General features: G+C 41.4%; 1 long non-coding RNA gene across 1 annotated transcript in view; it reads right to left on the reverse strand.

Moving 5' to 3' along the window:
* Positions 1-363: 363 nt before the first annotated feature.
* LOC112268038 (uncharacterized) overlaps positions 364-13,633 on the reverse strand; it is a 50,346-nt gene continuing 37,076 nt past the window's right edge. Inside the window, exon 3 of the long non-coding RNA XR_002956866.2 lies at positions 364-4,474. This is a non-coding gene — a long non-coding RNA (uncharacterized LOC112268038). The remainder of the gene's footprint in view (positions 4,475-13,633) is intronic.

The following is a 13,633-nucleotide window of genomic DNA, read 5'->3' on the forward strand; positions in this document are numbered from 1 at the left end:
AACTTTGAGGCAAATCCACATATATAGCATACAGCACCACTTACTAAAATTCTGTTTCTTCACCTATCCATTTGTCTCGGTCTCCTCTAGTATCTTTCTCTTCCCACACTTCACAAAGCTCATCCAACAACACTCCATTCCCAACGGCTATTTCCTCCCCCTTCCCTCTCTCTTTGCTGTATTCACTTGTTATGTGACTTCATCAAGCAAGATCCCATCAGTTTTTGAAGAAAGGAGAAATGAGAAAATGTGGCTGGCCACTTGAGGACTCCTTTTGCTGGGGGAAGAGAGTAAGGCAAATAACACTCTGAAATAAATAATTTGTCTCATTACACATAAATAATTACTTCATTTTTAAAAATGTATCAGTCACTAAAGCTTTATTAGGCTTTACTTAAGGTATCATCCAAGAAAGTCAGTACTTCTGGACACATAAGGGCTGTATTAGTCTGTCTCACACTGCTAATACAGACATACCAGAGACTGGGTAATTTATTAAGAAAAGAGGTTTAATTGACTCACAGTTGCATATGGCTGGGGAGGGCTCACAGTCATGGCAGAGAGCAAATGAGGAGCAAAGTGGCAGGCAAGAGAGAACTTGTGTAGGGGAACCGCCCTTTATAAAACCATCAGATCTTGTGAGACTCATTCACTATCTCTAGAACAGCACGGGAAAGACCTGCCCCCATGATTCAATTACCTCCCACTGGGTCCCTCTCAGGATACATGGGAATCATGGGAGCTACAATTCAAGATGAGATTGGTGGGGATACAGCCAAAGTATCTCCGGGGCCTTGAGTACTTCTGAGGAGAGAGAGGAGGGAAAGAAGAAAAGATGCCATATACTCGAAAGGATGAGCCTATACTGAGAAATAATCTGCCATGTGCAAGAAAACATTCTTGGTATTCCTGCCTTTCAAAATTAGAACAACCTAAGTGTCCACTATTAGAGAAATGATTAGGTAAATTACAATCTATTCAGGAAATGGCATATTGTTCAGCCATGAAGTGTTTATTTTGTTTTGTTTTGTTTTGTTTGAGACAAGGTCTCGCAGCTCTGTTGCCCAGGCTGGAGTACAGTGGTACTATATTGGCTCACTGCAACCTCTGCCTCGCGGGTTCAAGTGATTTTCATGCCTCAGCCTCCCGAGCAGTTGAGATTACAGGTGCTTGCACCAACACCCGGCTAATTTTTGTATTTTTAGTAGAGATGGGGGTTTCACCATGTTGGTCAGGCTGGTCTCGAACTCCTGACCTGAAGTGATCCACCTCCTTGGCCTCCCAAAGTGCTGGGCCAGCTCGCCCCCCGAAGTGTTTATTTTGAAGAATGTATGGCAGCAATGAAAAAAAGTTTATGTAATAATAAGCCAAAAAAAAAAGCAAAACAGAAAATCGAATTGTGTTGTAATCTACCTATCAGTTTATGTATCTGTACCAGCATTAGACAGAGGGAAAAGCTAGCAGTTGGGTCGGGGGAGTCAGGTCAAGATAGAATCCTGAGGAACACTGACATTTATGGTATATTCCAGGAAGGCATACCTTCAAAGGAGACAGAAAAGATGAAGCAAAGAAGCCATGAAAAGGAGGGAACTAGGCTGGGCGCGGTGGCTCACACCTGTAATCCCAGCACTTTGGGAGGCCGAGGCGGGCGGACCACGAGGTCAGGAGATCGAGACCACTGTGAAACCCAGTCTCTAAGAAAAATACAAAAACAATTAGCCAGGCGCGGTGACGGACGCCTGTAGTCCCAGCTACTCGGAAGGCTGAGGCAGGAGAATGGCGTGAACCCGGGAGGCGGAGCTTGCAGTGAGCCGAGATCGTGCCACTGCACTCCAGCCTGGGGGACAGAGCAAGACTCCGTCTCAAAAAAAAAAAAAAAAAAGAAAAGAAAAGAAAAAAAGAAAAGGAGGGAACTGACAGCATGACATTATAGAAGCTGAGAGAAGATGGCACATTCAAGGGGTCTGGCACTTAATGTCCATTACCACATTTAGTCCTCACAAAAGGCTTGGGTGAAAGATCCCCTTATACCCATTTTGCTGTAAGCAAAGTAGGTTTCAAGAGGCTGAGCAAGTTGGACAATATCCCAGAGTAAGGGAGAGATGGGATTTGAGCCAAGGTCTGCCTCTAGGTATAAACCAATAAGTATCTGAGGCAAGTCTCAATCCATTTATTAGGTTGGTGCAAAAGTAATTGCAGTTTTTGCCATTATAAGTAATGGAAAGTTTACTTTGCCAAGGTTAAGGACACACCTGTGACACAGACTCAGGAGTTCCTGAAGACGCGTGCCCAAGATGGTTGAGGTACAGCTTCCTTTTATACACTTTAGGGAGATATAACACATCAATCAATTGAACCATTTACATTGGTTCAATCTGGAAGGGTGGGACAACTCAAAGAGTGGGGTGCTTCTAGGTCATAGGAAGATTTAAACATATTCTGATTGGCAATTGGTTGAAAGACTTATTATCATTAGAAAGAAATGGCTGGGTTACAATAGGGGTTGTGGAGACCTAGGTTTTATATCTCCAAGTAGCAGGCTTTAGAGAAAATAGACTGTAAATGTTTCTTATCAGACTTAAAGTCTGTGTTGATGTTACTGCTGGAAGGGTATAATGAGGCATGTCCAACCCCTACTACCCATCATGGCCTCAACCAGTTAAATTTTAGGGTGCCCTGGCAAAGGAAGGAGACCATTCATATGGTGAGGAGGGCCTTCAACTTTTATTTTTGGTTTACATTCGCAAAGCATGTGCTCTTTGCTTTATACTAGGCTGCCTCCCTGCCATGTTAGAAAGATCTTCTGAATTTATATGAGGTCATGGTTTAGGTGGGATTAGTCAGTTGTATTTTCTCATCAATACATGTATTTTTATTTTTATTTTTTTTGAGATGGAGTTTCAGTCTTGTTGCCCAGGCTGGTGTGCCATGGTGCGATCTTGGCTCACTGCAGCCTCCGCCTCCTGGGTTCAAACGATTCTCCTGCCCCAGCCTCCTGAGTAGTTGGGATTATAGGCGCCTGCCATCATGTCTGGCTAATTTTGTTTTTAAATTATTTTTAGTAGAAACACGGTTTCGCCATATTGGCCAGGCTGGTCTTGAACTCCTGACCTCAGGTGATCTGCCCATCTTGGCCTCCCAAAGTGCTGGGATTACAAGTGTGAGCCGCTGTGCCTGGCCAATACATGTATTTTCCATTCAATACATATGGGGGTTCATTCTCTCACCCCTTATCAGAACAGAGGTCAGGGAGGAGGGGAATGGACCTGCAGGGTGATGGATTAGTATGGGGATTGCAAACTCCATTCCCTACAGGGCAGTTAGGGTAAAAGGGGAAGTAAAATTAGAGCAGGCGCATACTGTCAACAGGGGCAGGAATGTAGGAATGTGGCCCACTGTTTTCAGATATCCCAATTTGTTTAGGGGAGCCCAAAATCTGGATTTTATCTTTCTTTGCAAAATTGTTAATTTTTTATGTTGGGAACTAACTAGAAACTTTTTTTTTTTTTTTTGAGATGGAGTTTCACTCTTGTCACCCAAGCTGGAGTGCAATGGTGCGATCTTGGCTCACTGCAACCTCCGCCTCCCAGGTTCAAGTGATTCTTGTGCCTCAGCCTCCCAAGTATCTGAGATTACAGGCCTGAGCAACCATGCCCAGCTAATTTTTGTATTTTTAGTAGAGACTGGGTTTTGCCATGTCAGGCAGGCTGGTCTCAAACTCCTGACCTTAGGTGATCCACCCACCTCGGCCTCTCAAAGTGCTGGGATTACAGGTGGGAGCCACCATGCCTGGCCCTAACTAAAAACATTTTTAAACACTGTGCAGACTAAATAAATCTGTGGAGTCCATAGGGTCCAGTTTTAGACCCCTGGCTGAGCTCTCCAATGACAGAGTTTGTCTTCAGGGAAGCTTACCCTCAGTGGTGCTGATTCTATGGAAAGTCAATCCTCAAGCTAAGAGGAAATCCCTCCGGGCTGCAGCTAGGAAAAGGAGCAGGCCTTGGATGGGGCACTTCTCTTTCCATCTTCCTTCCCCAGCTAGTCTCACTGGGCCCATCAGTCAACTTTCCATGATGAATGTTTTGTTGGGTTCTGTTCCATGGAGTTAAAGGAGCATGGAGTGTCTCTCATCACAGCCCCTTTTCTAGGAAAATAAATGGCCAACTCCCTGGAGTTGAGGATTTTTTTATGCAATGACTTTCCTCCACGAGATTTATTGCAGCAGCTTTGTGAGAGATTTGTAGTAAGTAGTGTTGAGGCTGTAGGTCTTAAATCTTCAATGCCACAGTCATAACTCTCCAGGAAGGAAATGATAGAAGATCACAGTAGCTAATATTGCATTATGATGATACTGCCTTCCCAGAAATGATTGCAGTCTTGCTGCTGCTGTCTTACTTAGGAAACAGGAGCTCTTCAAATGTGCTTGAGATGTCTGTCCTGGTGGTGCTTTGCACGATCCATGAGAAGCTACAGACTAGGGGAAGAGAGCAAACATTTATGAGCACCAACCATACCTTTTTCACATATGCGGAGACTGAGGCTCAAAGAAATTAAATCATTTTCCCAGGATCTCTAGCTGTAAAACCTCTGATTTGAAAGCAGATCTTGTCTACTATGCCACCTGTAACATGTTTTAATTTTAGATATCTTAGAAGAATATTAATGAGTCAAAGTTGATAGGAGTGAATGGTAAAATATTTTTATTATTTTAGGTTTAACCTCAATCTCTTTCACTTTTATACTTAGTCTACAGTGTACAATAAATAGCTTAAATGATACCATGACGAAACAATCAGACAAACCCAGGCTATGAAAAAAGGACAATTGTCCTGCTCTCTACAAAAGTCAATGTTATAGGGGGAAAAAAAAGTCAGGGAACTGTTTTCTCTTAAAAGAGATTGAAGAGACAACTGAATGTAATGCATGAACCTTAATTGGATCCTTGCTCCAAGGGTGCCAACTGTATAAATCATTTTGGGGGCCGGGCACAGTGGTTCACGCCCATAATCCCAACACTCTGGGAGTCTGAGGTGGGCAGATCGCCTGAGGTCAGGAGTTCCAGACCAGCCTGGCCAACATGGTGAAACTCTGTCTCTACTAAAAGTACAAAAATTAGACTGGCCTGGTGGGGGGTGCCTGTAATCCCAGCTACTCAGGAGACTGATGCTGGAGAATTGCTTGAACCCACGAGGCAGATGTTGCACTGAGCAGAGATCACACCATTGCACTCCAGCCTGGGCAGGCGACAAGAGTGAAACTCCATCTCAAAAAAAAAGAACCAAGATCATTTTGGAAACAACTGAGGAAATGTGAATATGAACTGGATGTTAGGTGATATTTGGGAATTATTATTTGTTGTTTTAAGTTATGACAATAGTATTGTGGTTATTCAGGAAAACAGTTTTATTGTTAGGTGCTAAAGTATTTAGGAGTGAAATATCATGATGTCTGCTGTTTAATTGCCAATGATTGAGAAAAAACTATGCATGTGTATACATGTAAAACCTGGCAAAAGGTTATTCATTGCTGAATCTAGGTGGTTAGTATGTATATGTTCATTATCCTCTTCTTTCAACTTTTCTGTGTGTTTAAAATTTTTCATAGTAAAAAGTGAAAATGTACAAATAAATATTTAATTAGATTAAACTGCTTTAGAATGATAGGGAGGAAGATACACTGAATAGGGTAACTGCATTTTGAAATTCCTGCAGAAGATCAAAACTATGGAATAGCTGAAAATATGTCTTCATTACAGTAAATGTAAAAAATATAAGGATAGGCACATATTATTACAGCCATATAAAGGCACATTTGCAGGTGGACAAGCACTAGAAATACATCAGTTTAGTGGAAATAGAGGTGATCTTTTTTTCAAAATTACTCTTGTTTTATCACCTTTTCCCTTAATAGAATCATCAAAGAGCATGTTCATTGATCAAGGCATTAAAAGATCATAACTCTTTTGCTATGTGGTGGAGTTACAGCTAAATATCTTTCTTTAATTTTTATTTATTAATTTATTTATTTTGTTTTTTGAGACAGGGTGTTGCTCTGTCACCCAGGCTGGAGTGCAGTGGCCAATCTCAGCTCACTGCAACCTCCGTCTCCCGGATTCAAGCGATTCTCCTGCCTCAGCCTCCTGAGTAGCTGGAATTACAGGCACCGCCACCATGCCCGGTTAATTTTTGTATTTTCAGTAGAGACAGGGTTTCACCATGTTGGCCAGGCTGGTCTGGAACTCCTGACCTCAGGTGATCTGCCCGCCTCTGCCTCCCAAAGTGCTGGGATTACAGGTGTGAGCCACTGCACCTGGGCCTAAACATCTTTCTTTTAAAAGTCATCCTTGGCTGAGTGCAGTGGCTCATGCCTGTAATCCCAGCACTTCAGGAGACCGAGGCACACAAATCACGTGAGGTCAGGAGTTCGAGACCAGCCTGGCCAACATGGTGAAACCCCATCTCTACTAAAAATACAAAAATTAGCTGGGCATGGTGGCAGTCACCTGTAATCCCAGCTACTCGAGAGGCTGAGGCAGGAGAATCACTTGAACCGGGAGGTGGAGGTTGTAGTGAGCCAAGATCGTGCCACTACACTCCAGCCTGGGAGATAATGCAAGACTGTCTCAAAGAAAAAAAAAAAAAAAGCCACCCTTGAAGCCCATAGTAAGGAAATATTCTGTATCTTTATAATCAGTAAATGCATTGAATGTATTGCTTTACTAAAAACAAATCAGTGTAAGAACTTCAGCTCTATGAATCTAGTGTGGTTAACAAGATCTGGGGAAAATAACAGTAAGTAAAAAAAATAATTACAGTTACAAATAAAAGAGACTCAGAAAGTTAGTTCAGTTTATGAATGATCAAATAGTTTCAACTGATTATAAAGAACAATTGCCTAAAATGGCTCCAGAAACACAGGCCAGCCACCTGGTTTTGTGAATACAATTTTATGGCGTTCTCATGTTTACATGTTGTCTATGGCTGCTTTCATGATACAATGGCAGGGTTGCGCAGTTTTAATAGAGACCATGTGGCACACAAAGCCTACAATATTAATATCTGCTTGTTAAAGAAAAAGTCTGGCCAGGCGTGGTGGCTCACGCCTGTAATCCCAGCACTTTAGGAGGCTGAGGCGGGCGGATCAACTGAGGTTAGGAGTTGGAGACCAGCCTGACTAACATGGAGAAACCCTGTTTCTACTAAAAATACAAAGTTAGCGAGGCATGGTGGCACATGCCTGTAATCCCAGCTACTCAGGAGGCTGCAGCAGGAGAATCGCTTGAATCCAGGAGGCAGAGGTTGCAGTGAGCCGAGATTGGGCCATTGTAGTCCAGCCTGGGCAATAAGAGCGAAACTCCATCTCAAAAAAAAAAAAAAAAGAAAAAGTTTGTTGACTTCTGGTCTAAAGGTATATATAGGCGTGTACATAAAAAAGGATCAAAAGAGAATATTAAAAAAAAGTTGATTTATTATGGTGGAGAGATTATATATGATTTCTATTCAAATTTTAAATTTTACATTATTACAGTGGGATTTGTTAAATATTTTTAAGAAAAAATAATTGAGAGTTTTTACTGTTTTTACAACGCATAGAATGATGATGGAGAAACAAATAGCAAATATGTACTATAGAGTTGTTAAATCCTGACTTGGAAATTCTAATACTCAGAATTGAACCAGACAAAATAATCAGAAATGCAGGGGGGATTACAAAGGTGGTTCTCATGGGATTGGTCATAATAACAAAAATGGAAATAACAGGGTAACCATTACCCAAATAATGGTATATCTCTATATGATGGAATATTACACAACCATAAAAAATACTTTAGAAAAAGCATTTCTTACTTTTGTAATCAGAAAAAAATAAGATGTTTAAAGGATGCAGTACTACTCACTGACATGGAAAACATTAATAATAGTGATATTGAAGTAAAATAAATTATAGAACATTTCCAAATACTTATTTATAAGTGTCATCTACATGCACTTACAAATACACAGAAAAATATGTCTGGAAGGATATTAAACTATACCATCAACAGTGGTTTAGGAAGTAATATTTGGGTGTACTTTCCCTTTCTCTCTAATACAATTATATTCAGTGGGTTTTGTTTTGTTTTTTTTTTTTTACAGCGAGCATGCAAACCAAGAGAAGAAACATATGCACATTTTTTCTCTAATGGTTATTAAAAGCTATTAAATAATTCAATAAAATGCATATGAAAAGCTGAATGCAAAATTACAGAAGGAATATAACCTCAACTTAAGGAAGAAAACATGCCCAGGAAAAGGATCTAGGAAATGTCAAAGCATTTTATTGCCTCTGGGTGATGACATCATGCATGATTCTTGCCTTATCTTAATGAACATATATTACTTGGATAATCAGGAAAATTTTAAAGTACAAATTTGTTAAAATAACTTTTAAAAAGAAAAGGATATTGTTACAGGCTTTACCAATCCATATTGCTCTCTTGAATCCCTTTATATTTGTCTCCGTTTCTCTCTCTCTGTCTCTCTCTCTGTCACACACACAACCACACACGCACAGTTTGTTCATGGCAAAACAGTGACTTCTATTTTTTTTTTGGAGAGGGGACAGAGTCTTGCTCTATCGCCTAGGCTGGAGTGCAGTGGCATGATCTTGGCTCACTGCAACCTCCACCTTCTGGGTTCAAGCCATTCTCCTGGCTCAGCCTCTCAGATAGCTGGGACTACAGGCATGTGCCACCATGCCCGGCTAATTTTTTTGTATTTTTAGTAGAGATGGGGTTTCACCATGCTGGCCAGGCTGGTCTCCAACTCCTGACCTAAAGTGATCCACCCGCCTCAGCCTCCCAAAGTGCTGGGAATTACAGACATGAGCCACTAGGCCCGGCCGACAGTGACTTCTATCAAACAAATTTTCCATTTCTGTTTCAAATGTCCTGGCCTCCTTCCTTCACAACTCACCAAAATCCCACATGTCATCTGAACTCCACACATAAGAGGGAAAGGAGGAAGAAGAAGACAAAAGCACTCAGGGATATATTACCTGCAAGGCTCCTCAAATTATGGAAAGAATAAAATACCCAAGTCCTTACAATGGCCTACAAGGCGCGCAGGTGCACACACACACACACACACACACACACACACACATACACACCTCTCTAACCTCATCTCTCACCACTCTCTCCATAACTCTTATATTTCCTTCAGTTCCCAACTCAAATATCATCTTATCTAGGAGACCTAACTTTAGCTTTCACCAACTTCACCAACTTGGTTTTGAAACCAAGTTTGACTATATTTGACTATACCTTGAGGTTTAGTCTAAAAGTGCTTTATTAAATTGGAATGAAATCATCAGAAAAAAAAGATCACGTGGTAGTTAGCTTCCAAGATGGCCCCCTGATATTCACACTCTTGGATAGTCCCTTCCCACACTAAATAGGGCTGACCTGTTAGCTAATAGGACACTGCAGAAACGACAAAGTGTGGCTTCCAAAGCTAGGTCATAAAAGACATTGAGGCTTCTGCGTTGCTCTCTTAGATCATTCGCTCTGGGGGAGTCAGCCACCATGCCAAGAAGAACACCCAGGATCCCTACAGAAAGACCCATGTGGTAAGGAACTGAGCCCCGACCTGCCAACAGGCTGCATCAACTTGCCATTCATGTATGTGAGCTGTGTTGGAAGCAAATTGCCTGGCTCCAGTCAGATCTTCCTATGACTGTAGTCCTGGCCAACATTTTGACTGAATTTCCTGAGTCACCTTGAGCGAGAACCATCCAGCTAAGCTGCTCCCAAATTCTTGACCTACAGAAACTACAAGAGATAATAAATGCTTATGTCATTTTAGCCAAGTCTCAGGATGAAACATCTCTCCTTTCTGCTCCTGTTCCTGCATGGGGACCCAGGAAATTTGGGCTGGCTGTACCTACCCTACCCTGACTGGGTAAATGGGGCAGAACAGTTTATATCTAAAGTTTATCTGAACAAGTCTTCCTTGACGTGTTTGGTGGGTCAGATTTTGCAACCCAAACTATTACTATGGTAGATGGCAGCCCCATTTCCACAAAGAAATAACAATTTCCAGGTAGAGAGAGTCATTCTTGACCCCATGCCCTGACTGCTTCATCACCATTGTTCCTTAGTTCTGTCTCAGCACTTTTCTGCCTCCATCAACCAGCTCAAATTCCACCAAGAAGCACTCTCAGTATATAAAGTATGAGCCATAATTTTAAGAGCATGTATGCTATGTATCTCTGTACATATGTTGTATGTGTTCATATATCTCTGTATGTATGTATGTTGCATGTATATCTGTATATACTTTGTGCTTGTATGTATGTTGCATGTGTCTATTTTTGTCTTGCTGCATGCACATGTGTATATCTGTATTTTGTATGTATATGTATGTCGTGTATGCATATCTTGTGTATATCTGTATTATGTTCTAAGTATATCTGTGTATTGTATGTTGTGTGTGTCTGATGTGTGTGTGTCTGTATGTTGTGTATATCTGTATTATGTTCTAAGTATGTCTGTGTATTGTATGTTGTGTGTGTCTGATGTGTGTGTGTCTGTATGTTGTGTATATCTGTATTATGTTGTGTATGTATCTGTATTTGTGTGAATATCTGTATGCATGTTGTGTGTGTTTCTGGTGTGTATGTGTCTGTATATTGTATATGTTTATCTGGTGTGTGTGTGTGTGTGTGTGCGTGTGTGTGTGTGCATGCATCTGGCCTTTACTATCCTGGGATTCGTACAATTTCCCTTCATAAGAACATTATCAATACAACTGATTCTTTATTTTCATAAGTGTGCTACAGTTACATAAGATGTTAACCTTAGGGAAAGCAGGTGAGAGGTATAGAAAAACTCTTTTGTGAATTAAAATGTTTCAAAATAAAGAGTTTTTTTAAAAAAGCAGCTTCCCGGATTAGTAGGAAAGTCAACCTTCCCCTTTCTTAGATCTAAAACATCCCAGGAGTGCTTAATTTTTGTCCAAGGCACCATCCTGATTGTAATTTCCTCTCCAGTGGAGTTGGAGTCAGGCCTGATGGTTTCACAACCATAGCCCAGATGGACAACCCTCTAGCTTGCCAAATGGACATTCCTATTTGCTGAACCTACAGGGTGACTGCCAGCAATCCAGATCCCCTTCCAGACTTGTGTCCTAAAACACTCAAAGGAAGATAAAAATAAAAGAGAATTCTTAGAAAAAGACAAGGAAAGAAAGACAAATTGAAGGGCCAATGGCTAATTTGGGCAGAACTACATGTTTAAGGACCCATGGGAGGCAAGATGAGGCCTCTGCCTGATGTTGAGTCTCCAGATCTAGGGTGGGCTGAGGGAGGGGTCCAGAGGAAGAGGCACAGAAAACTGAATGGCAGACTCAGGCCTTAGATATTCAAATCCTCCCTAGGACTGTGTGTGTTGCCATGGACTCCACATTTTACAGAGAGCTATTTGGGGTTTAAATATTCTTCCCCCTTCACCACTCCACAAATCAACTAAGACTCATTTGGGCAGGAGTGGATCTGCCCTGCCCTGCCTTGCTAGGCTGGAAACAAAGTGCTCAGCTCCTGGGGAGAGTGGGGTTTGTCCTTGCTCTCCGCTCACTAAGCAACCTGTTGATGAGCTTATAATTACCAGAACTGTGTGCTACAGAATGAATGTTCTTGGAGATTGTAATGATCGAAGTGAATGAACATGCTTCAACATTTGGAAACGTGCTTGAGAAGAATAATTGCTTTAAAGTGCTTCATAAATTGTTGCTAGGAGACCACATCAAGATAGGCCTTTTTACTTACAACTTGAAGTTCAACTGGCAGGAAATTCACCCATTCAAAATATAGATAAGCAAATAGAACAATTCAAAAAAGGAAGAATGAAAGACAGAAACCTGCCAGCTATTAGAGAAAATCTTCCACCAAAAACATAATGGAGAACAAGAGCCAAGACAATGTTGCTGGTCTTTATGGATTTGCATCTTCGTTCTTACGGGTTATGTGTTCTTGGGCAATTTCTTTGCATGTCTCATATTTTCAGTTTTCTCATCTAAAAAAAGTGGAGATATCAATAGCTCACTCATAGGATTAGAGATGACTCACATGTGGATGTATCCAGCACATAATGCTCAATATTTACTTATTTACACACACTTGTTCCAAAGCGTTTTGAGGTCACTTACAAAATTATTTCCTGACTAGTTTGTGTTGTCCCAAAAGCAGGCTCTGACACAATAAATTGGGTTTAGGTGGCTTATTTGGGAAGTGATTGCAGGAAACTTAAGTGAAATAGTGGAGAAAGGAAGACTGAAAAGGAACAAAAGTTCAAAGTTGCATCAGTGAGTAGGAAAGTCCAATACCAATAAATCCTACAGGGAACCCTCTGAAGCTCCATGGAGGACATGCCGCAGGATTATCCTGCCAAGGGATGGGGAAGCTGAGGGATGTGTCCACTGACTCTCATTTCTCAGGGGTCAAGGGTTGCACCTGGGGATCTTAAGTTCCCAGTACCTCCACAATGTCCTGAGCAGTCTGATAATTTCTGGTAGAACAGGAGCAAACCCTCTGGGTGAAGAGTAGGGAGCCACAAGCACATGAGGTAGGCACCTGTCCACGTGGCCAGGAGCTGACCCACTCAAGCTGCATGTGAACTCAAAGGTGGGCCAGAGTGATACAGGGCTAGGTATCAACAGAATCTGCTACACTTAGGATTCAACGAGGTAAAATTAGTTGATGAAGAAATTGAGGTCAAATAGAAACAAATACTCTGTGTTACTGAATCTTTAAAAAAAAAAAAGATTATTTTGTAGAAAGGCTGGCTGTAATGACTGACGACATTTTTTTTCTCTTTTCTAGACTTCTAATCAACACACTAGCCTGGAATTTGAGCAAGGATTCAATATTGCTGTGGGCAATATATGGTTAGGCAAATCCTTCATATATGTCAGTCCCATGTTGACCCAACTCTAGGGAATCTGGAACATTCTTATGGCGTTCAACTATGTTTGGACTTTAGGCCTGAAGCATTAAATTTGAAGTTTGGGCACCAAATAATAGTTGGAAATTACGTTCCCATTCTGCATGGATCAGGAAGGAAGTACATCAGCTACTTTCCTATCCAGCAGACCCTTCCCTGCTTGATAGCTGTTTGCCATCTGAACCAATAACAAGCCAGCAGGGCTCAGACTTGGCATTCCCTAGCATGGAAGAAGAAAAGCAATAAAAAATGTTAACCTCTAAAGTTTTTTCAACATGTCAGTTCCCCCCTTAGCTCTGGGAAGGGCATTAGCAGCACCATCATGCCCCATAGGAATGGAAAGCCATGTTGATGGCATAGACCAATAACAAGGGAATAGAGCAACGCAATATGACAGGAGCAGGCAGAAAGGCTGGCAATCCCTCCGCCAGACTCCCAACCTCCCAGCCCCCTTTCCAGGAATCATAAAGGTGAGATATGAAAATATGAGAAAGGATGAATGAAAAACAAGCAGGAGAAAGACCACCAGATATTATATGCCCCTGATGGAAGAACACAACACCACTTACGAAGTAGTCTGGCTAAAAAATTGAACCTGGGTCTGATATAGACTCTAGTTTTAATTACCAATGAACAGGAAATGCAAGGAACGAA

The sequence above is a fragment of the Homo sapiens genome, chromosome 9 (assembly GCF_000001405.40).
Source record: "Homo sapiens chromosome 9, GRCh38.p14 Primary Assembly".
Classification (NCBI taxonomy): Eukaryota; Metazoa; Chordata; class Mammalia; order Primates; family Hominidae; genus Homo; species Homo sapiens.